At 50.0% G+C, this 20,846-nt stretch overlaps 1 protein-coding gene across 31 annotated transcripts in view, besides 3 other annotated features; it reads right to left on the reverse strand.

Moving 5' to 3' along the window:
• Nucleotides 1–20,846, reverse strand: part of PITPNM2 (phosphatidylinositol transfer protein membrane associated 2) — a 168,369-nt gene that overhangs the window by 43,991 nt on the left and 103,532 nt on the right. For 29 of the 31 annotated variants that reach the window (XM_047429206.1, XM_047429208.1, XM_047429215.1 and 26 more), the window contains one exon: nt 7,043–7,215. In XM_047429206.1, the coding sequence (XP_047285162.1) occupies nt 7,043–7,120 (78 nt within the window). In that variant the 5' untranslated portion in view covers nt 7,121–7,215. Of the gene's footprint in view, nt 1–7,042; nt 7,216–20,846 lie in introns of those variants that run through there. The other 2 variants (XM_047429217.1, XM_024449100.2) reach the window with 2 other exon arrangements.
• Nucleotides 91–1,049: an enhancer, noted in NCBI's record as "H3K4me1 hESC enhancer chr12:123512108-123513066 (GRCh37/hg19 assembly coordinates)". NCBI's record gives its function as "activates a minimal SCP1, AML or CMV promoter by ChIP-STARR-seq in naive H9 embryonic stem cells {active_cell/tissue: H9 hESC(naive)}" and the evidence as "EXISTENCE:reporter gene assay evidence [ECO:0000049][PMID:30033119]".
• Nucleotides 1,050–2,007: an enhancer, noted in NCBI's record as "H3K4me1 hESC enhancer chr12:123513067-123514024 (GRCh37/hg19 assembly coordinates)". NCBI's record gives its function as "activates a minimal SCP1, AML or CMV promoter by ChIP-STARR-seq in naive H9 embryonic stem cells {active_cell/tissue: H9 hESC(naive)}" and the evidence as "EXISTENCE:reporter gene assay evidence [ECO:0000049][PMID:30033119]".
• Nucleotides 16,080–16,659: an enhancer, noted in NCBI's record as "H3K27ac-H3K4me1 hESC enhancer chr12:123528097-123528676 (GRCh37/hg19 assembly coordinates)". NCBI's record gives its function as "activates a minimal SCP1, AML or CMV promoter by ChIP-STARR-seq in primed H9 embryonic stem cells {active_cell/tissue: H9 hESC(primed)}" and the evidence as "EXISTENCE:reporter gene assay evidence [ECO:0000049][PMID:30033119]".

The following is a 20,846-nucleotide window of genomic DNA, read 5'->3' on the forward strand; positions in this document are numbered from 1 at the left end:
GGGCAGACTGGTATCATTAGGCCAGCTATGCACCCTTGGGCAAGTTCCTTGATATCTCTGAGCCTCGAGCTGTCATCTGGGGATGGGGATGAATGGGGATGAGTACCACCAACTGTGCAGGTTATCGTGAGGATTAAAGCAGGTTCTGATCATTTGCTGGACACTGATTCAGTCGGCTGTGGAGGGGTGTGAGGGCTGCAGTCAGTGGCAGAGCCACTGGGAGCCAGACGGGACCCCCTGTATAGCACTTTGGTGTTTCCTGAAATAGATGCTAGGTAAAGATTGGTCAAATGAAGAATGGATTCTAGTTCCAACTGTCACCAGGAACTTCAAAGCTGGCATCACCAAGGGCAGCCAGTCCTCCCCAAGCTGACCTCTGGCTCCCCACCAGTGATGGCGTCCAAGGGGGGCAGGCCCCTCCTGGCACAGCTACTCAGTCATGCCACTTAGGAGCAAGCTCTTCTCGAATCACTCTGATCTCTGCCACATGAGCAGCCACCCCCTCGTCCCTGCCTACCATTCCCCTAAACAGTGCTGCGGTACTGTTTTCAGAGACAGCGGCAGTTGGACAGCAGAGACAGGCCTGGCTCCCCAGGGGCTAACGAAGGAGTTGGGGGAGGATGCAAAGAAAGATCAAGACCAAGAAACCCCTGAAAGCAGCCGCTCCCAGGGTCCTGGCCAGGCCACCTCCGGCCACTCCCTCGGCGGCACACATTCGCTGAACACCTCGGACGGATGGCCCTCTCCCAGCCAGGCAGACGATTTTGTTTTCTCACCTTTAACACGGTGTATATTGAGTGCTGCTCCAGCAGGGTGCCAGGTACTTTGACGCGCGAGCCCAGCCCATCTTTTTCACAACCTTCCAGCGGGGCAGCTTGCAGAGAGGAAGGCCTATTCCTAGCTGCCACTGGCTGGCAAGTGGCAGAAGTGGGAAATGATGAACTAAGGTCTTCTTATTATTCTTTCCACAAAAACACAGCAGTCTTCTTGAAGGCCTATCCATCTTGGGAGGCCAGTGCAGACTGTGCCCTTGAGCCTGTGCTGAAACGTATGTGAAATCTATCTTCCCAGAGAACGGGAAGGACTTTCATCCCCCTCTGCAACTCAGCCCTTGGCACAGGAAGTGCACAGGAAAGTCAGGTGACTTTAACTTACTTTTTAGCAATGTTACTGAGGTATGACTGACATACAATAAGCTGTACACATGTAAAGGAGCAGCTGGTGATTCTGACGTACGTTCACACTTTTGAGTCCATCACCCCACAGTGACAAGAACCCCAGGAACCGCAGGTTAGAAAAAGGCTAGAGCGGGCACAGACGGGCAGGTGGGGCTGGGAAGAATGAGTGCCCTCAGGACCCAGAGGGTCAGAGGAAGCTGCCTGGAAGAGGGGCATTCACACCAGCCCTGCAGGAGGGGCAAGAGCTCTCAAGATGGAAATTGGGCTGACAGTAGGGGTCTTGGTGACAGGAAGGGCACAGGTAGTGCCTTGGGTCTCCAAGTCGGGGTGGCCTGAACCTCTCCCCTCCTGCCCACCTGCTCTGCCCTCAGGCCTGGGAGCCACAGCACAGGCTGGGGTTGAGAGGGGAGATCCCTCCCAATGCTGCCTCCTCCCCAATCTAGACACTGGCACCTCCTGGTCCTCTCCGCCTGCCAGGGTGCCCTCACCTCTGAGATTGGCAGCAGCCTCCCTTGGCCTACTAGGGGTCCCAAAGAGGCCACCTAGGAGCCCGGAGATCTGAGCTCCAACCCTGGCCCTGTGGACCTCAATTTCCCCATATGTAAAATGGGAAACTATGCTCTCTGAGAGCCTAGCTTAGGTTACAGATAAAGAAACTGGCTGTGCATGGTGGCTCATGCCTGTAATCCCAGCACTTTGGGAGACTGTGGGTGGATCACCTGAGGTCAGGAGTTCAAGACCAGCCTGGCCAACATGGCGAAAGCCCATCTCTACTAAAAATACAAAAATTAGCCAGGCATGGAGGCGGGCACCTGTAATCCCAGCTACTGGGGAGACTGAGGCAGAGGAATCGCTTAAACCCGAGAGGCAAAGGTTGCAGTGAGCTGAGATTACACCACTGCACTTCAGCCTGGGGAACAGAGTGAGACTTCATCTCAAAAAAACAGAAAAAGCAACCAAGAGGAGCACTACCCCCTTGGGTCTTGTGGTGTATGTGTGTGTGTGTGTGTGTCTGTGGAGATGCATGTACACATGTGCACATATGTGTGCATGTTGTGTGTGCATGCATGTGTCTGTATAGGTCTGTGCATGTGTCTGCATGTATTTGTGTACATACCTGTATGCATAGGTGGCTGTGCTTGCATGTACATATGTTGTGTGTGGACACACATATGTGTCTGTGTGTGTGTGTGTGTGTGTGTGTGTGTGCACTAGAGCCATGGGTGAGGGAGGGAGGAGCAGCCCATGTGCACTAAAGAGGATATGAGCCAGAAACTGGGAAAACAGACCCACAGACCTAAACCCTGCCCTGAGACACTCACTGTCCAGCAGGAAGCAGACAGACACCCACAAAGAGGTGGAAGGCACTAGGTGCCCAGGTGTGGGACTGACAGGAAACTGCGAGGATTCAGGGAAAGAAATCACTCATGCTGCCCATGGAGATCAGAAAAGCCTCCGAGAAGGACACAGCATGCTGGCTGGTCTGAAAGATGGGCAGAAGGACCCTTGAGATAACCTGGGGACTCTTCTGTTTCAAAACATACTCACTAGGGTAGCATTTATTTAAAAAGAGGACAGTAAGTGCTGGTGAGGATGTGGAGAAACTGGAAACTTCATACATTCCCAGTAGGAATGTAAAATGGTGCAGCCACTGTGGAAAACAGTCTGGTGGTTCCTGCAGACATCAAGCATAGCGTCACCATGTGACCCAGAAATTCCCTTCCTAGGTGTAGACCCGGAAGAATTGAAAATAGATACTTGTAGGCCGGGCGCGGTGGCTCACGCCTGTAATCCCAGCACTTTGGGAAGCTGAGGCGGGCGGATCACGAGGTCAGGAGCTCGAGACCATCCTGGCTAACATGGTGAAACCCCGTCTCTACTAAAAATACAAAAAATTAGCCAGGGGTGGTGGCACGCGCCTGTAGACCCAGCTACTCGGGAGGCTGAGGCAGGAGAATGGCGTGAACCCGGGAGGCGGAGCTTGCAGTGAGCTGAGATGACGCCACTGCACTCCACCCTGGGCGACAGAGCGAGACTCCATCTCAAAAAAAAAAAAAAGAAAACAGATATTTGTATGCTAATGTCAACCCAAATGTCCATCAATGGATGAATGGATAAGCAAAATGTGGTCTGTTCATACAGTGGAATATGATTCAGCCATAAAACGTAATGAGGCACTGACACATGCTATGACATGGATGAATCCCAACAACATGACACTGAGTGAAAGAAGCCAGACACAAAGAGCAACACTGTGAGTGATGCCATGCACATGAAATGTCCAGAACAGGCAAACCCAGGGAGACAGGTAGTACATTAGTGATTGTCAGGGGGTGGGGAGGGGGAGTGAGGAGTGACTGTTTAATGGATATGGGGTTTCTTTCTGGGGTGATGAAAGTGTTTTGGAACTAAAGTTGGTGGTTGCACAACATTGTGAGTATACTAAATGCCACTGAATTGTTCACTTAAAAATGGTTGTTAATGTTTTGTGAATTTCACCTCAATAAAAGCAAAACAAGACAACAACCAATCAAGTAAGCCCAAAGCCCCTAGTCCCAAAAGAATTTCTTCCAAATGCTATAGAGACCTGATAGCCTGAGCCCCGTCCATGCAGACAGTAGGCAGGCCAGCGTTTTGCCCCTCAGAGGGCACACGACCTATGGGCCTGGCAATATCTTGGAGCTCATTTTGTTGGAGCTCGGACTGGGGGCTGTGGAGGCCAGAACCCAGCGATGCATCCGCCTGTCTAAGACCCAGCTGGGGCAGGGCTGGCCAGCAGGGGCCTTAAGTGCATGGGAAACTTCCCAGTCAGTAGCTCTAGCAGGAACCTATGGCTTCCTGGTAACTACATGAGGGCTGAAGCACCTCAAACACAGCAATTAGTCCTCAGGCCGGAGACAGCACACACCAAGAACACAGAGGACACAGGTGCAGGGCACTAGCACCTGTGATGTGCAGCAGACCCCCTGCCCATCACCAAGCTGTCTATCCGACACCCCCAGCCTCAAGGCCTGCCCAGAGGAGAGCTGCCCAGCCAGCCAGCCTGAGCAGGAACACCAACAGCCTTGCCCCCAATCTCCCCTCCAAGCATGCTAGTGCCTGTCACAGAAGCACCTCTCCCGGCAATACCTGGTTTCTTTCACCTTTCTTTTTTAACAGGAAAGCAGACGTGTGCACACATGCTTGCTCACCCAGAAGGTGCACAGGGAAAGGCTCTGGAAGCTCAGAGGAGCAGCAATGACTCCAGCTAGCCCTTAGAGGCCACAGTGTCTCTGCCTAGCTGGGGAGGATGCCCATCTGTCCAACAAGCTCTCACGAAGGGCCCTGAGAGTGCTGATGCTCACGATCTGCAAGGCGGGAGATGTTTCCATCCTGCCACAATCCTAATCAATGGAGCTTCTCAAAAGACACTGCATGTGTCGGCTAGATGGACGGGGCCTGGCTGCACAGCTGCAGGAAGGTCTGAGCGTCTAACAGGGAACTATATGATGCTTAACAGTTACATTCATTCGAGGCATAAGGATAGGTGTTCAAAAAAACCCTGAAGTGGCTGGGCATCGTGGCTCACGCCTGTAATCCCAGCACTTTGGGAGGCCAAGGTGAGTGGATCACAAGGTCAGGAGACTGAGACTGTCCTGGCCAACATGGTGAAACCCTGTCTCTACTAAAAATACGAAAATTAGTTGGGTGTGGTGGCGCGTGCCTGTAATCCCAGCTACTCCGGAGGCTGAGGCATGAGAATCGCTTGAACCCAGGAGGTGGAGGTTGCAGTGAGCCGAGATCACGATGCTGCACTCCAGCCTGGCGACAGAGCAAGACTCCATCTCAAAAACAAACAAACAAACAAACAAACAAACAAAAACCTGGAGTGACAGGTGTTTTGAGGAGCCCAGAGGTGATTCTATGCTCCAGAACAGCTTTGGGATCTCCTGGGGGCTGGAGGTCAGTCCTCCCGATCTTGACAGCCACCGGGAGGCCAGGTGGAGCTGAGGGGCTCCTGTGGTCTGGGTTCACCCTGGCTTGGGTGGGAATTGAGAAGCAGTAAGACAACAGCAGCACTGGCAGATCAGCCTGGTCCTTGAACACGCTGAGCTATTTCCAGAGTGCTCAGAGATGGGGGGCTGATTTAAGCTGCTTCCTCTCTCTCCACTCTCTAGAAATAATTATCGGGTAAGTGGTTCAAGAGGGAATTGAGTGGTCCTTCTGAAGCAGCTCAGAGCAAACAGCCCCCCGGAGAGGCTGGGTTCACCTTCCGTTCTTTTCCCAGCCAAGGCTCCCACATAGGGGAGCCTGGACAAACCCTTGCAGCTTCCTCAAGCTCCTCCCAGAAGGCAGCTGGGGCTGCAGGCTCTGCTGCGAGCTCACAGCTACCTCCCCTGACCTGGGTGGAAGGTGGGAGCCCAATAGGCGAAGCCAGTGATGGGAGGTGGAGGCCCTGCTGAAGCCTTTCCCCCACACCAACGACTCAGTCTGATGCTGTAATTAAGGGGTTGTACAGCAAGAAGCTGGAGGAGGGCAAGCCCCACTGGGTCACAGGGACTGGAGGCACTGATATGCCCAGAGGAGCCAGAGCCAGGCTGACAGCAGGTTCATAATCAGTGTGGGAAGCCCGAAGACCCTCAGCCTGGAGGGAAGCTGCCGGGCTAGGCCATGCCAGGCACTGAGGGTGGACAGAAGGCCAGCAGGAGAGCTGGGATGGAACCTCTACATAGAAAGGACTGCAGCCAGGACTGCAGCAAGTGGGAGCAGTGGTCCCATCTGGGGTCAGCCAGAGGCAGCCAGGTCTTGTGTTCCAGGTTGATCAGGCACTGAGTAGGGAGACTGGAGGTGTCTCCTAAGCAAGAGTCTCTGGCTCGTCAAAGGAGCCTGTCATCCTCAAACTCCTGTGTGCGTCTGTAAGTGAGCCACATGTCTGACACTGCTTTTTTGCAAGCAGTCAGGGTGGTGAGGAAAGCATGGAGCTGGGAGCTAGGAGACAGGCCCTGTGCTCCTTGGCAAGGCATTTAACATCTCTGGGCCTCATACGCCTTCCTGTCTGTAGAATGGGGTGTTATGGACTGAATGTCTCTGTCCCCCTAAAAGGCCTGACCCCCAGTGTGATGGTATTTGGAGATGGGGCCTTTGGGTGGTAATCAGGGCTAGATGAGATCATATGGGTGGGGCCCTCACAATGGGACTGGTGTCCTTAGAAGATAAGGAAGGGTGGAAGATGAGGGATTACTTAATGAGTACAGGGTATTTGAGTGATAGATACCCTACAAGCACCATTTTCCAATCTGTGCATGCAACAAAATTACAGTTGTATCCTATACATTTACACAAATAAAAAACAGAGGAGAAAAAGAAAAAGAGAAGACACCAGAGCCTGCTCACTCTCTGCCATGTTAGGAAACAGGGAGAAGGCGCCCATGTGCAAGCCAGGAAGAGGGCCCTCACCAGAAACCGCACTTGCCAGGCCTTGATCTGGGACTTCCGGCCCCCAGAACTGTGAGGAAGTGTGTTCCTCTACGCCCCCAGTTTGTGGTATTTACTGATGGCAGCCCAGGCAAACTGAAACATAGGAAAACATAGGGATAACGTCTGGGCCAGGGAGATAATGGTGCTGAACGCAAGGGCAAGTGTTCGCGTTGTAGGCGGCGGGACACAGTGCCGGAAAGCAATCTGATGCCGTGCGCCCATGGTGTGCTCTGTGCGCCTGGCATCGTGCCTAGAGGCCAGGGGTCCAGCACAATTCACACTTACCAGGAAGTTCTGGGGCAGGCACTGCACTGTGAAGGCCACAACTCCACCTAACCCACATGTGGTGTCTGTGCGCTGGCGCGACCCACCCTCACCCCATGACCCACCCTTGCCCCACGACCCACCTGTATCATGTACAGCTGGGCGATGCGGTACTCCTCCACGGTCATTGGCAGAGGAATCCGATATTCCTTTATAATCATCTTGGAGTCCAAGCCTTCCCGTCGATGGGGAACTGCAAGTTGGGACTTCTAGGCAAGGTTCCTTAAATAACCATGACAAAATTCACCAAGGACCCCTGGGAGACAGAGAGGACAGAACAGAACAGTCACTTTCTGCAAAGGCTGGTGAATACCATAGCACAGAGGAAAGGCCCGGTCTACACCTGAGGCTGGAATTGTGGCCTCTGATCAGGCATGATCCAACGGTGCAACTTTGAGCAGGTTCTCTCCTTTCCAACCTTTATTTTTCTTGTTTGCTAACAGCTACCAAAAGGACAAGTGAGAGGCTATGTGTAAGCTCTCTGATCAACAAACAGCCACGGGGAAGTAAAGAATTGTCACTCCATAAACAAGGGCCAGGGTAAGAACACCGTGCTCTTGTTTTACTCACAATCCTAACAAGGTACAGCATCTATTTCCCCGGTACTGACACAGTGAGTAATGATAGCTGGTCATGGAAAAGCAGGCAGATCAAATAAAACTAAGCAGCACAGACATGAGACATTCACAAGTCAGCAGTCTGAGCCATGCCATTAGGGGCAGATGACATCACTACATCCCAAGGGGGAGACTCTGAGTGATTTAACGTTTGGTTTCAGTTCAATCCAATAAGAAACATTTATTGGCATCTATTTTATTCCTTCCATTGGGCTATGTCTGGGAAGTAGATGAGACAAGATAAGCAGAGAGTGTGCTCATAGCCACCTCTATTTAAGTGACAAAGAATATATTTGATGAAGATTTGTCCCTAAGCAATCACATTTTTTTTTAACTGGGCCGGGCACAGTGGCTCACACTTGTAATCCCAGCACTTTGGGAGGCCAAGGTAGGCAGATCACTTGAGGTTCGGCGTTCAAGACCAGACTGGCCAACATGGTGAAACCCCGTCTCTACTAAAAACACAAAAATTAGCCGCAGGTGGTGGCAGGAGCCTGTGGTCCCAACTACTTGGGAGGCTGAGGCAGGAGAATCGCTTGAACCCAGGAGGCGGAGGTTGCAGTGAGCTGAGATCGCGCCATTGCACTCCAGCCTGGGGGACAAGAGTGAAACTCCGTCTCAAAAAAAAAAACAAAAACTTGGTGCTTGGAAGAGGCGCATACTCAGTTATCCGGAAAATGAAATCACCCCTTAAAACCCAAGCCCCAGATGGCTGAAGCTTTGCCATAAATATCATTTGGTCACCTCCAAAGGTCACATGCTGTTAACATGAAGCCAAGTGAAGGTTTTCAGGATGGATGATAAATAAATTTTACATTTATTTATTGTTTAGAGACAAGGTCTCACTCTGCACCCAGGCTAGAGTGCAGTGGTGCAATCCCAGCTCACTGCAGCCTTGATCTCCTGGGCTCAAGCTATCCTTCTGCCTCAGCCTCCAGAGTAGCTGGGACTACAGATGCACGCCACCCACACCCGGCTAACGGTAGTATTTTAGCAAGACTACTCCAAGGACAGCAGCCAGGGAGGATTCACAGTGACCATGGGCAGGACTCCTGCTAAGTGATAAAAGCAAGGGCCTGGCCAGTCAGGCAACTTCCCCAGGGCACGGCTCTCTATCGGGCATTGGAGTATCACCCAGGTGCTAAAGCATTACTGGGTAGCTAACAAGGTTGAGAAAAACATTTATCAGAACTCTCAGGAATACCAGTAGACAGGGTTAAAAGAAGTTCTTAAATAAGCCACTTAGGGAGAAAGACAGAGAGAGGAAAGGTCTGATAAAGGGGCTCCATCCCTTGTGCTAGCCTAAAACAGCGGCTCCCAGTTGTTTAGTTCACAGCAGGTAGGAACGTCAGCCCGAAGCCCATTCAAATTCTCACATCCATCCTGGCATTATGGGATGCCAAGGCAGGTGGACTGCTTGAGGTCAAGCAAGCTCAAGACCAGCCTGGGAAACATAGCAAGACCCTCCTCTCTATTAAAAAAGAACCCAATTCTCACATCCAGTTGCTTTAAATATAGTCCAAGTGAAGCTCTTTTTTAGCCGATTAGAGCCTAGATACTTTATATACCCCAGAAACTGCACCCAACATCTGCTGGCTGTAGATAAGATAACCCTGGATCCCAGACCCCAACTGCCCCTTGGAGGTCTCTGACCCAGACTCCCCATGGTGCTGCTGAGCAGCATCACCTGGACACAGAAATCCCCTCTAGCTCCCCTCTCTCTGGGAAGTTTCCTTGCCCTGTTCCCCTCCTTGGGGTGGCCCCAGGCCCTGCTATATCCATAAGGACTCTTGCTAGGAGGGGCTTCCCCTCTCCTGCGACCTGTCCACCAGCCTTTCTGATCCCTGATCAACCCCAAAGCTCCCCAGAGGCTGTGCTCAAGTGAAAAAAGACCATTGCTGACCTTCTTCAAGGTCAATGGGTCTAGCTAACAGCCCATGGGACCTGCAAGTTTAGGGCCTGAGGCCCTGTGGAGTTCTTCCCCATACTCCCAGACTCAGCTCCGCCTAGGCCCACATGTCTATTCTCACACCTGGCTGGAAGCTGAGGACACAGGAGAGAGAAGCAATGGCCCTACAGTCCCCAGGCTGCACCTTATCCTGTGAGGTGTGAAACAAGAGCTGGCTGGGCCGAAGTAGCAAGGGACCCAAGTCTGACACCTGGATGGACTTCCAGCTGGCTGGGAGGGTAGCACAGGCACCTGATCTGAGAAACTTACATACATAAAGGAGAGAGAGCTTTATGTTTGAGGGAAGTTGGAGGAAATTAGGGTTGGAGACGGGAAGGGAAAATTGAAGTTCAATGGGGGTTGTTTCTGAAGCTTCTTCACGTGGTTCTTCATTGAAGCCCCAGCATCGCCCAACTAGGAAGGCACAGCAGGTGCTTGGTGTGAAGCAGTACACCTGTGTGACGTGCAGCACCCACTCCGCCTCTGTGGGGCCTCAGGTGGGCTCCTTTACTGTGGGGCAAATGCAGTGACCCAGAGTGGGCAAGTCTCATTTAGTCATCTAAATAACATGGTCAGACACAGACTCTAAATGTTCTTCAGAAACCTTACGAGTCTAAGCATTCTGCCCTTTGGGAGTCTTAACCCCTCCAGCGTACATGACCTGCCCTGCTCATCCCCATGCAAATCAGTCCTTTCTCAATCCTCTCAGATTCCAGGCTCACCAGGCACTAGCAAGGTAGGACCCCCTGAGCCAGATTCATAATGTTCCTTAAATGTCTCCATCACCTCAAATAACAACCAGGGGTGAAATCTCGCAGCCTGAGCCAGCACCCAGACACTGGCTTGGGTCTCTGATTTCAAAGGCTCTGTGAGCACATGTCTGGAACAGATACCTAATGATGTTCCCCCACGGACAAGCTGTCAGGTGAGCTGTTAATTGCACAGGTGCTGTCCACAGCTCCGCTGGGATATTTTTGCGTGCAGGCAGAGGGACAGAGACAGAGAGGGAACACACACCTGGAGGGCCCAGAGGCCCCTTGGAGGCTCCTGGCACCTGGGTGGAGTGGGGCAAAGCTTAGGACCGTGCAAGGGCAGCAGCCACATGGTGGAAGAGCATCAGAAAGTGCAAGTGCTCAGGATGCAATTCCATCAAGGCTGGCTTAGGGAAAAGCAACCGTGTTTCTGCCCACAAGGAACTAAAGAGCTGTAGAGGTAAGTAAGTAGGTACATACATGGATAGGAAGAAGGAAAAAACAAATAAATCGTTCTATATCTTACAGTTAAATGCACGGGTGACTAATAGGAGAGAGGACTCAGAACTCTAAGAGTGACACAGAATGTGACGGGAGGTGACAGTTTGGAGCTCACTCTGGGATCTGACTGCAAAGCCTCACAATGCCTTTACCAGCTGTGTGACCTCCTGGAAAAGCCCCTGTATCTGCTGAGCCTCGGTCTCTCCATATATAAAATGGGGATAATACTATCTGACTTCTGGAGTTACCATGAGTGTCATGAAAACAAGATAAGTTGCTCAGTCCAGAGGGGTCTCAGGAAAGGCTTCATGGAAGGCGGAGCCAGGCTCTCTGAGATCCATGGGATTCTGCTCGGCAGAGCTGAGGGCGGGTGTGAGAAGTACTCAATCCAGTAAGAAGGAACAGCGTGAGCAAAGGCCCCAGGGCAGGAACGTGGGGCTCCATTGAGTGGCTTCCCACCATGTGCCCCTGGCATGGCCAGGCTGCATCTTGGGGAGATGAGGTGGGGCTCTCTGAAGCATGAGTTTAGGGGCTTAGACATCCTTAAAGTCATCTAAAAAATAATTACCTGGCCGGGCACGGTGGCTCACACCTATAATCCTAGCACTTTGGGAAACCAAGGCAGGAGGATTACCTGAGCCCAGGAGTTCAAGACCAGCCTGGGCAATACAGTGAGATACTGTCTCTTCAAAAAATCATACACTTAAAAAAAATTAGCTGGGCAAGGCGGCAGACACCTGTAATCCAGACACTTGGGGAGGCTAAGGGCAGAGCTGAGGGTAGGTGTGAGAAGGACTCAATCCAGTAAGAAGGAACAGCGTGAGCAAAGGCCCCAGGGCAGGAACATGGGGCTCCATCGAGTGGCCTCCCACCATGCACCCCTGGCACGGCCGGGCTGCATCCTGGGGAGATGAGGTGAGAGGATGGCTTGAGCACAGGAGGTCAAGGCTGCAGTGAGCCATGTTTGCGCTACTGCACTCCAGCCTGAATCACAGAGCAAGGCCCTGTCTCAAAAATAAATAAATACATAAAATTCAAAAAAAAAGAAAAAATTATCTGATGTTGAAATCCAACTAACCAAAAAGATAAGTCAAAATGAGGTAATAAATGGAGAAATCCTGATGAACACGGCATTGATATTTTGAAATCATGGCAATTATGTGATTGAACTGACTATCAAAACCTCAACACTGTACACAAATGATAATACAACTAAGACAAATTTGGAGAAGAACAAAGGTAGAAATATCGTTTCCTCAACTTCCATAGCATAGAAGTTGGTTCATTAAGTAGGTAGAAAAATTAGTGAGAGATGAACAGGCAGAGAATGGAGGATTTTTAGGGCAGTAAAAGTACTCTGTGGGATACTACAATGGCGGATGCATGTCCTCATACATTTGTCCAAACCCACAGAAAGTACAACATCAAGAGTGAGCCCTTGTGTAATCTACGGACTTAGGGCGATGCCATGTCACTGCAGGCTCATTCATTGTAACAAACAGGGCACATTGATGTGTGATGCTGAGAGTGGGGGAAGGGGCATATGGGAACTCCGTACTTGCCACTCAATTTTGCTGTGAATCTAAAACAGCTCTTAAAAAAAATAAAGTTTAGGTGGCTCACGCCTTAATCCCAGTACTTTGGGAGGCCAAAGTAGGCAGATCACTTGAGGTCAGGAGTTTGAGACCAGCCTGAGCAACGTGGTGAAACCCCATCTCTACAAAAAATACAAAAGTTAGCCAGGTGTGGTGGAGTGCCTGTAGTGCCAGCTACTCGGGAGGCTGAGGTGGGAGGATCCCTTGAGCCCGGGAGGTGGAGGTTGCAGTGAGCCAAGATCGTGCCACTGCACTCCAGCCTGGGCAACAGAGCGAGACCCTATCTCAAAAAATAAATAAAGTTTATTATTAAAAAAAAATTAATGACTTTAACCTTTTAAAAGTTTTTCTCTCAGAAAATAGATTAGAGGTCACCAGGGGCTGGGGTTGGAGGAAATGGGAGTAGTTGTTTAATAGTTACAGAGTTTCTATTTGGGTGATAAAAAAGCTTTGGAAGTGGTAGTGGTGATGGTTGCTCAACATTGTGAATATACTTACTGTGATGAAATAGTACACTTAAAAACTGTTAAAATAGCAAAGTTTATGTTATATATATACTTACCACAATTTAAAAAAATCAATAATATACCAAAACCATTTAATCGTATACTTTAAATGAGTATATGTATGGTATGTTATTATACTTCAATCAAGCTATTTTCAAAAGCTTTTCTCTCACCTTTAACCTTTTAGGACTATTATCACTTACAATAAAGAAATCTTTTTCCTCAGTTTAGCAACTCCCATTTCACTTGAGATACATGAAAATTGATACATTTGTCTGGTTAAATTCAAATAACATTAAATTTAATTTTTACCTTAAAAACTCATGTAGAACATGATACTTTTTTAAAAAAAGATCATGTAGAACACGATACTTTTTTAAAAAAAGATCATGTAGAACATGATACTTTTTTAAAAAAAGATCACGTAGAACATGATACTTTTTTTAAAAAAGATTAAATTTAATTTTTACTTTAAAAATTCATGTAGAACATGATACTTTTTTAAAAAAAGATTATTACTACTCTGTACATGTCTGTTTGTATGAAGAGTGTGGAATAAACGTTGACTGAATGCTGGAGAGGGTTCCATCAGATGGATGGAATTTGTGGGCAACTTTTACCTGCACTTTATTACCTGATGTTTCAGAAGGCAGCAGCTGTAGCATTTGAGTGGTGTGTGTGTAAACAGACAGAGAAGGGCTGGTAGTGTTGTGATTAAAATAAAACAATCAGCTAGACCTTCTGCCACCTGTTAGCTGTGACAGTGGGCAAATTGCTTAATCCTTTGATCTTTCATTTTGTCTTCTGGGGGTAAGAACCACCCCTGCCCAGCTGGGGTGTCTGTAGATTAAATGAGGTGATGCACATGAAGTGCTCAGCCCTGTTCCAACCAGTGTTCAACTAGCAAGAGTGAACAACAAGGTGGCACTGCTGTCCCTAGCAGGGTCTGGAAGGCGGGTCCCTGAGATATAGGGCCTGTGGGCTTCCTGGTAGGGCTGCCTACCCCCAGGTGCAGACAATAAACCTAGGCCTGAAGGAGGAGCAGCCCTGCTGTGGTGCTGGTTGGCCTTACAGCCAGGCACGGACCTACTGGGGTGAGATAGGGTCCTCCTCACTTTCTCCCTGGTTGAGCTGAGGCCAGGGAGCATGGCAGACCCTCCCGTATCAGAGCAGTGTGACTTGTGTGTCTGCCTCTCCCTGGAGCCCCCTTGGCCCGAAGCTGAACCCTCCTCACTCAGACAATTTCATTACACCCAGTCCGGCTGCCTGGGTGCTAGCGAGACAGACACACATTTCATCTCGTCTCTGCCGGAGTCGTGACGGGTTAGACAGAATTATGTTTTACTGCTGTCTGCAGGGCATCTTTTGGGGCCTGGCACAGACAGAGAAAAAAAAACACATACAGGTCTCCAGAGGCCCTTCAGGGAGGAAGGCCAGGCAAGGGGTCTGGGTGGTCGCCCACATGCACAGCCCACATGGCTCTGCTCCAGGGATGACAGGGACCCTTCCCTGGGCTTCAAATGTGGCACCTGGGCCCTGGCCTTAGAAAAGTCTTCAGGTTCCAGACCCTGGCATTCACGACCCTAGAAAGAACCCCCAGCCCCATGTTCACTGATGTCTTTGAGTAAACACCTGGCCAGACCGTGTCAGAGTGGGGCCACTCAGGGAGGCCATGGAGCAAGAGACCAGCCGTGGGCAAGGCGCGAGGTGCAGGATGCATCCAGACCAGGGTTCCAGGCACAGGCAGACGACCAAGAAGAGCTGTGAGGGATGTCACCCAAAGAATCAAGGGCATGGCTTCCCACCAAGACACAGAGCACCAGCTGGGCCTCCCAGGCTGGAGCCCAAAGATCTTCCTGAACCTCCCAGGGAGTAGAGGAGAAAAGTGACACAGAAAGAGCTTCAGATTCATGAGGCAGGGGTGGCCAGGCTGGAGGCATGTGATGAAGACTTAAAGTGGATTACTGGGGTTTGGCCCAGGACGAGGCGACGTGGACAGCTCCTTTAAGCGGAGGCCATGAGACACCCTGACTGGGAGGGGAAGCACGAGAATTGTGTTTATAGAACTTAATCTGTTTTTCCATGATTAGCAGGGGTCTGACGTCACAGATGGAATTTAGTGAGGCTGTGCAAAGTTAAGGGGGGATGGAATCCATCCCAACGCAGTTCAGCTGCATTCTGGTTACTAAGTCTGGAAGCTACTCCAAGCCAAGCCAGCGGGAGCCCCGGTTTTTGCAGTAGTGGGAAGCGAGGGAGCCACCGGCAGGTCTGGGGGCCTGGGACTCAGGACTGTGGGTATCCATAACCTCCTTCTGCCTCCCTTGAGTCCCTCTCCTCTTGCTCTAAGAGAGCTTCCTTCTGCTCTCTGCTTCCCAAACCTACTGGTTCCCAATCAGGAGCTGAAGCAGGCAATGGTAAAAGTACTTCCTCTCCAGATGCAGCCAGACAAGGCTCCCCAGGCCTCCCCTAACCATCTATGTGTATCCAGGGACCCAAAGCTCTGGATGAATGGGAGGCAGCACAGACGGATAAGGGGCTGTTCTTTGTCCAGCAACCATCCCCTTATGCCTGGGCTGGGGTTGCAGGAGTGTGTGGCTGCTCTGAAGGTGTGTGTTATGAGGTTAGCACTGATCAGCTGCCTCTCTGTGTCCTGGAGCTGAAAGCAGGAGAGGTCACAGACCCACAGAATCGTCCAATCCCTGCCCCAGAGTAGTTCCACCTTTATGTGTTAGACACTGGGCTTCCAGCAGAGATTTCTTTTGAAGAAAGGATTTCTGGGCTAAGAAACAAGCAGAGGACCCTGCTGCAGGCCAACCCTCCCCTTACAAATGAGGAGACTAAGGCTCAGGAAGCAGGCAGAGAGCTGGGTTGGGAACCAGGACCCTGACTCCCAGCTTCTCCCTCCACCCAGCCACAAACTCCCAGGCATTAGAGGAGAAAAGTGACACAGAAAGAGCTTCAGGTTCATGAGGCAGGGGTGGCCAGGCTGGAAGGGCAAGGACCAAGGAGACTTTGAGCAGGAGGACACAGCTCCTACCCCCACCCCCCACAGATTCCTTGACACCTTTAAGCAGGACCTGACTCCTTCCTCTAACGCTGGCCTGGGCAGTGAAGAGGGGGTCCCAGAGAGCTTTAAAGCCCTGGGCACTGCGGCAGTTACCCCAAATCCCACAGAAAGTCATAAATCTCACCATTGTACACCTGGAGTGCCAAGCTGGGGCAACTGCCAAGCCACTGCAGGAGTTGGTCACCAGATCCCACAGCACAGCGGCCACCTGGGGGCACCGTGGGGCTTGCAGTGCTCTGCAGCTCCAGGAGCAGGAGTGGGATGTTAGAGTTAAGTTATGAGGCATCGCTATGTAATGCCTCAACCCAAACAACAGACCCAGGGAAGCAGTGGTACAGACCACAGAGCAGGCTCCGAGAGGGCGCATCCTGCTCAAGGACTGCGGCAAGGCAAGGGGGCCCTGTTTTTATGACTCCTCCTCCCTGGCTGTGGCTATCAGCATGGCAACCTCAGTTGGGTGGAAACGGGCACAAATGTGCATGTGAGGAAATAAGCTTGAAACTCAGAGCCTCCAAGATGATAAGCATGGCATGAAGGAGAATTATTTGGAACTCACCTCCTACCCTGGTCCTCTAGGGACCCTGCTGGTCACAGAGCTACTACCACCACCACACTGGCCTCCAGGGTTGGTGCTCCCCTAATTTAACACTGAGTATGGCTGAAATAAGACTGGGCCCTTAAACAAAATGCCACGGGAGGCTTAGATGTGACAACAGAAACAAGCCCAGAGGGGACCTTGGCCCCAGCAGTTAGGGTCTAAGCTGTGGCTACAAAATCGTAGGCTGGGGTTTGCTCAGGGGCCTTCCTTTCTCACTCCTGGTCACCTCCCTGAGGCCACCACCATTTCAGCAGCAGCACCCAGACCATCCTCCTACATAAGAAGTGCCAGGGCTTTTCAGGAGGCCACTGGCCTTAGAAATGGCCAGTCCTTTAGGGGTGAAAGGTCTCAGCTTCTGGGGCATGCAGAAGGGAGGGCCCCCTGAGATGCTTAGAGGCTGAGAGCCTGTTGGCAGAGAGCTGGCTGTGCTGCAGGCCCTGTCCCAAAGCAAAACTCAGCTCAATCAATTCTCCAGGGAAATCAGAGCTTTCCGGAACCATCCAAGACACCAGAGTTGATAAGAGGCACTGCTGAGATTTTCACCTGGGTTACTCCTGAACTGGTGATAAGCCCTTGTGATGACAGAGTAGATACATAATGAGAATACAAAGGCCCCTGAGTGCTTACTCCTCTGGGCCAGCCTTCAAAACTCTGACAGGACACTCCAGGAGGGCACAGCTCCTGCAGTCCTACTTCAGTGATTCAGTTCCTTCACTATTTCCCACTCCTGATTTTATACCTTCTCTCCATCTTGAGTCTTCGTTACTTTTTTATCATTAATTTTTTTGGAGATGGAGTCTCACTCTTTACCCAGGCTAGATAGAACACAGTGGCGTGATCTTAGCTCACTGCAGCCTCCAACTCCTGGGCTCAAGCGATCTTCCTGCCTCAGCCTCCTTAAGTAGCTGGGACCACAGGCATGTGTACCATGCCTGGCTCCAGTCTTCTTTGTTTCCTCAAATTCCCATCATCAAATGGACCAACCCATTGCACCAATCCACTAGCTGCTGTTGCAATGCATGGACGGCTCTGCTCCTACTGAAGGCCAACTCTCTGTCACTGGGGCCCATGCCCTCTTGTCATTCAGGGACCTTCTCCCGAAATGCTCCCCTCTCTTGTCTCCCTAATGGACCTCCTCATTCACCATCAGCATTCAAACATGCAAGTTATAGCTCCCATATATCTGCAAAACCAAAACAAAACAACATGCCACAGCCCCCCTCAACTCTACCTCCTTGGCACCATCCCGCTTCTTTGATCCCCTTTATAGCAAATCCTCCTCAAGCTTAGCTATACTTGCTGTTTCCATTGTCTCACCTCCTGATCTCTTTCCAACCCACTTTGACCACCCCCACTCCACTGAGACCATATTGGTCAAGGTCACAAATGACCTCCATGTGGCTAAGTCGGCAGACAATTCTCATCAAATTCAGTCTTTCCTTAATTCCTGCATTTAACACAAATGGATTGAATGTTGGCTGCAGATGCCTCCCCATGGCTTGTGAGCAGGTGGGCACAACGCTGGGACTGAGTTTTTCCCTGGACAAGGTTCTCCTCTTTACTTGGCCAACATACCTCCCAATAAACTTCCACTTGGAGCCCACCATGTGCAAGATTCCAGCACTGAGGCTGTCAGCCAACTTACTCGGGTGCCTGTTAGTTATCAGCTGCAAATTATGAATTTTTGTTGCTCCAAAACAACAGCTGGTATTGTGCAGCCTGCAAGGAGCGCTGTGGGGCTAACCTCAAGTCCAGAGAGGCACAAACGCCATGCTGGAGTCTCAGTAGCCAGTGTCAGTAGCCAGTGTCCCTAGTCCTGTCTCCTTAAGCCCACCCTACTCATGGTACCAAAGGCGCACCAGCCCACCACTCTGAGCCCCCGTGACTCCTTCTGCAATAGCTATGGCTGAGTGGGGTACAGACCCAGCCGTCCCTGGGTGTCCCAGCGAGGGTGTCACAGCCCTTTAGCTCAGAGAAATTGCCCACAGCTCTCTGTGTCGCCTAAGACAGGGTTTCCCAAACTTGCCACATTACAACAGTCAACTCCTTAAAGACACAGATGCCAGGGCAGCTAACAGTCAGAGACTTAGTCCCCACCCCGACCCTGGCCCCTCATCCTTCATGCATCCTGTGAGGAGGAGGGTGTAGGAGAAAATACACAGTCTGCCCAGTCCTGCCTTTCCTGAAGGTATTCCCAGTGTGAATGGCCCCCTCCTGAAAATGGTGCCAGGGTCTCATCAGACCCCACATCCCAACAGCCCCCACCCTCTGGCAGGCACACTTGGCAACCAGACTCTTCTTCTTGCTACTTGGTTTATAAATCTGGCCCATGGTTTTACACACTTGGGCCCTATTAATACATTGTAAGTGACTTAATCCTCACAACTCCCCCGAGTTAGATGTATTGTCCCCACTTATTTAAGTATTTTATTGTGATATAACTCACATGCCATGTAATTCACCACTTTAAAGTGGTTTTTAGTATACTCACAGAGTTGTGCAACCATCACCCCTATCTAATTCCAGAACATTTTCCTCACCCAAAAAGAAAGCCCATTTCTCATTAAGCTCATTAAGCAGTCACTTCCCGTTGCCCCAGCCCCTGGCACCCACTAAGCTGCTTTCTGTTTTGATGGATTTGCCTATTCTGGACATTTCCTATTGGTGGAGTCATACAATATGTGCTTTCTGTGTCTGGGCTTTTTCACTTGGCATCATGTTTTTGAGGTTCATGTTGTAGCATTGCGAGAACTTCATTGCTTTTTATGACTGAATAATATTGTGCTGCAAGGCTATTAGCCCCGTTTTTATAACTAAGGAGACCCAGGGCTTTGTGTCATTATGGTACCTTGCCCCTATTACTCAGTAAGTGATGGAGTCAAGTGTATCTTACTGTACAGCCAGGATAGTAAATAGCTTAAGAATTGAACCATCATCTTCTATACTTAAATCAATTTATATACATATGCACCCCTAGCATTGATAATAGCATTTTATGACTTACAAATTCTTTTAGCCTTTTTATTCTTGCTTCTTCAGAATGATCTCCCAAGGTGGAAAAGGTAACAATGCTCCCATTTTTGGAAGAAATGAAAGCCCCCAAAATTTAAGCGGTATATTCCAGGCTAAAGCTATGTATTGATGCGTGAAAGGTGGCTGCACCTGACTCTGGATACAACACAAGCTAACAGCTGCTTTAATGCTTTTTAATAAAGATGCATGATTTAGAGAAACAATTTCTGTTTTTTTCTTTCAGAATATTTTGTAGGAAGTACAAACCTTCTGGCTGAGGGAAAGCCCCACTTAAACTTTATCAGAGTGGTTACTTGTTTTTATTCTAATGTTCTTAAATGATCTAGGAAATAAAGGTTGGTATCTCTTTCAAAATACAGGCGTCTTGGTTCCAGCCCAAATCAGCTGCATTGCCAAGGGAAAGACCTGGGAATAAGAATTTTTAACAAGTCCCCTAGGTGGCTTAGATCAACAGAAACATTTGCCTAGAAGCCAAAGCTCCACAGTCTGGCAAATAAAGTCTTTAATATTGTCATCCCAATGCCAACCCCCTCTTTCAGTAAGAATTCTAGTCACTCTGAACTCCATGCACCTAACAAATGTTCATTAAGCACCTCTTAGGGTCCAGGTTCTATGATGGGTGCTAAGGATACAGGGGACCAAGACAGGCCTCAGGGAGCCTCCAGGCTCCAGGGGAGACAGGCATCACATGAGTTATCAAAACCTAATGAGAAAAAAAGGGTGGGGGGAACCTGAGGGGAAACACTATTTAGCCTCAAAAAGAGACAGAATTGGCCAGGTGCAATGGCTCACGCCTGTAATCCCAGTACTTTGGGAGGTTGAAGCAGGCAGATCATGAGGTCAGAAGATCGAGACCATCCTGGCCAACATGGTGAAACCCCGTATCTACTAAAAATACAAAAATTAGCCAGGCATTGTGGTGCACACTTGTAGTCCCAGCTACCCAAGAGGCTGAGGCAGGACAATCACTTGAACCTGGGAGGTGGAGGTTGCAGTGAGCCGAGATTGCACAACTGTACTCCAGCCTGGGCAACAGAGTGAGACTCCATCTCAAAAAAAAAAAAAAAGAGACAGACAGACATCACATGAGTCATCAAAACCTAATGAGAAAAAAAGGGTGGGGGGAACCTGATGGGAAATATTATTCAGCCTCAAAAAAGAAGGACATTCTGACACATGCTACAACATGGATGAACTCTGAAGACATTAAGCAAAGTGAAATAAACCAGACACAAAAGGAAAAATACTGCATGATTCCACTTACAGGAAG

This window comes from Homo sapiens, chromosome 12, assembly GCF_000001405.40.
Source record: "Homo sapiens chromosome 12, GRCh38.p14 Primary Assembly".
In the NCBI taxonomy this organism is placed as follows: domain Eukaryota; kingdom Metazoa; phylum Chordata; class Mammalia; order Primates; family Hominidae; genus Homo; species Homo sapiens.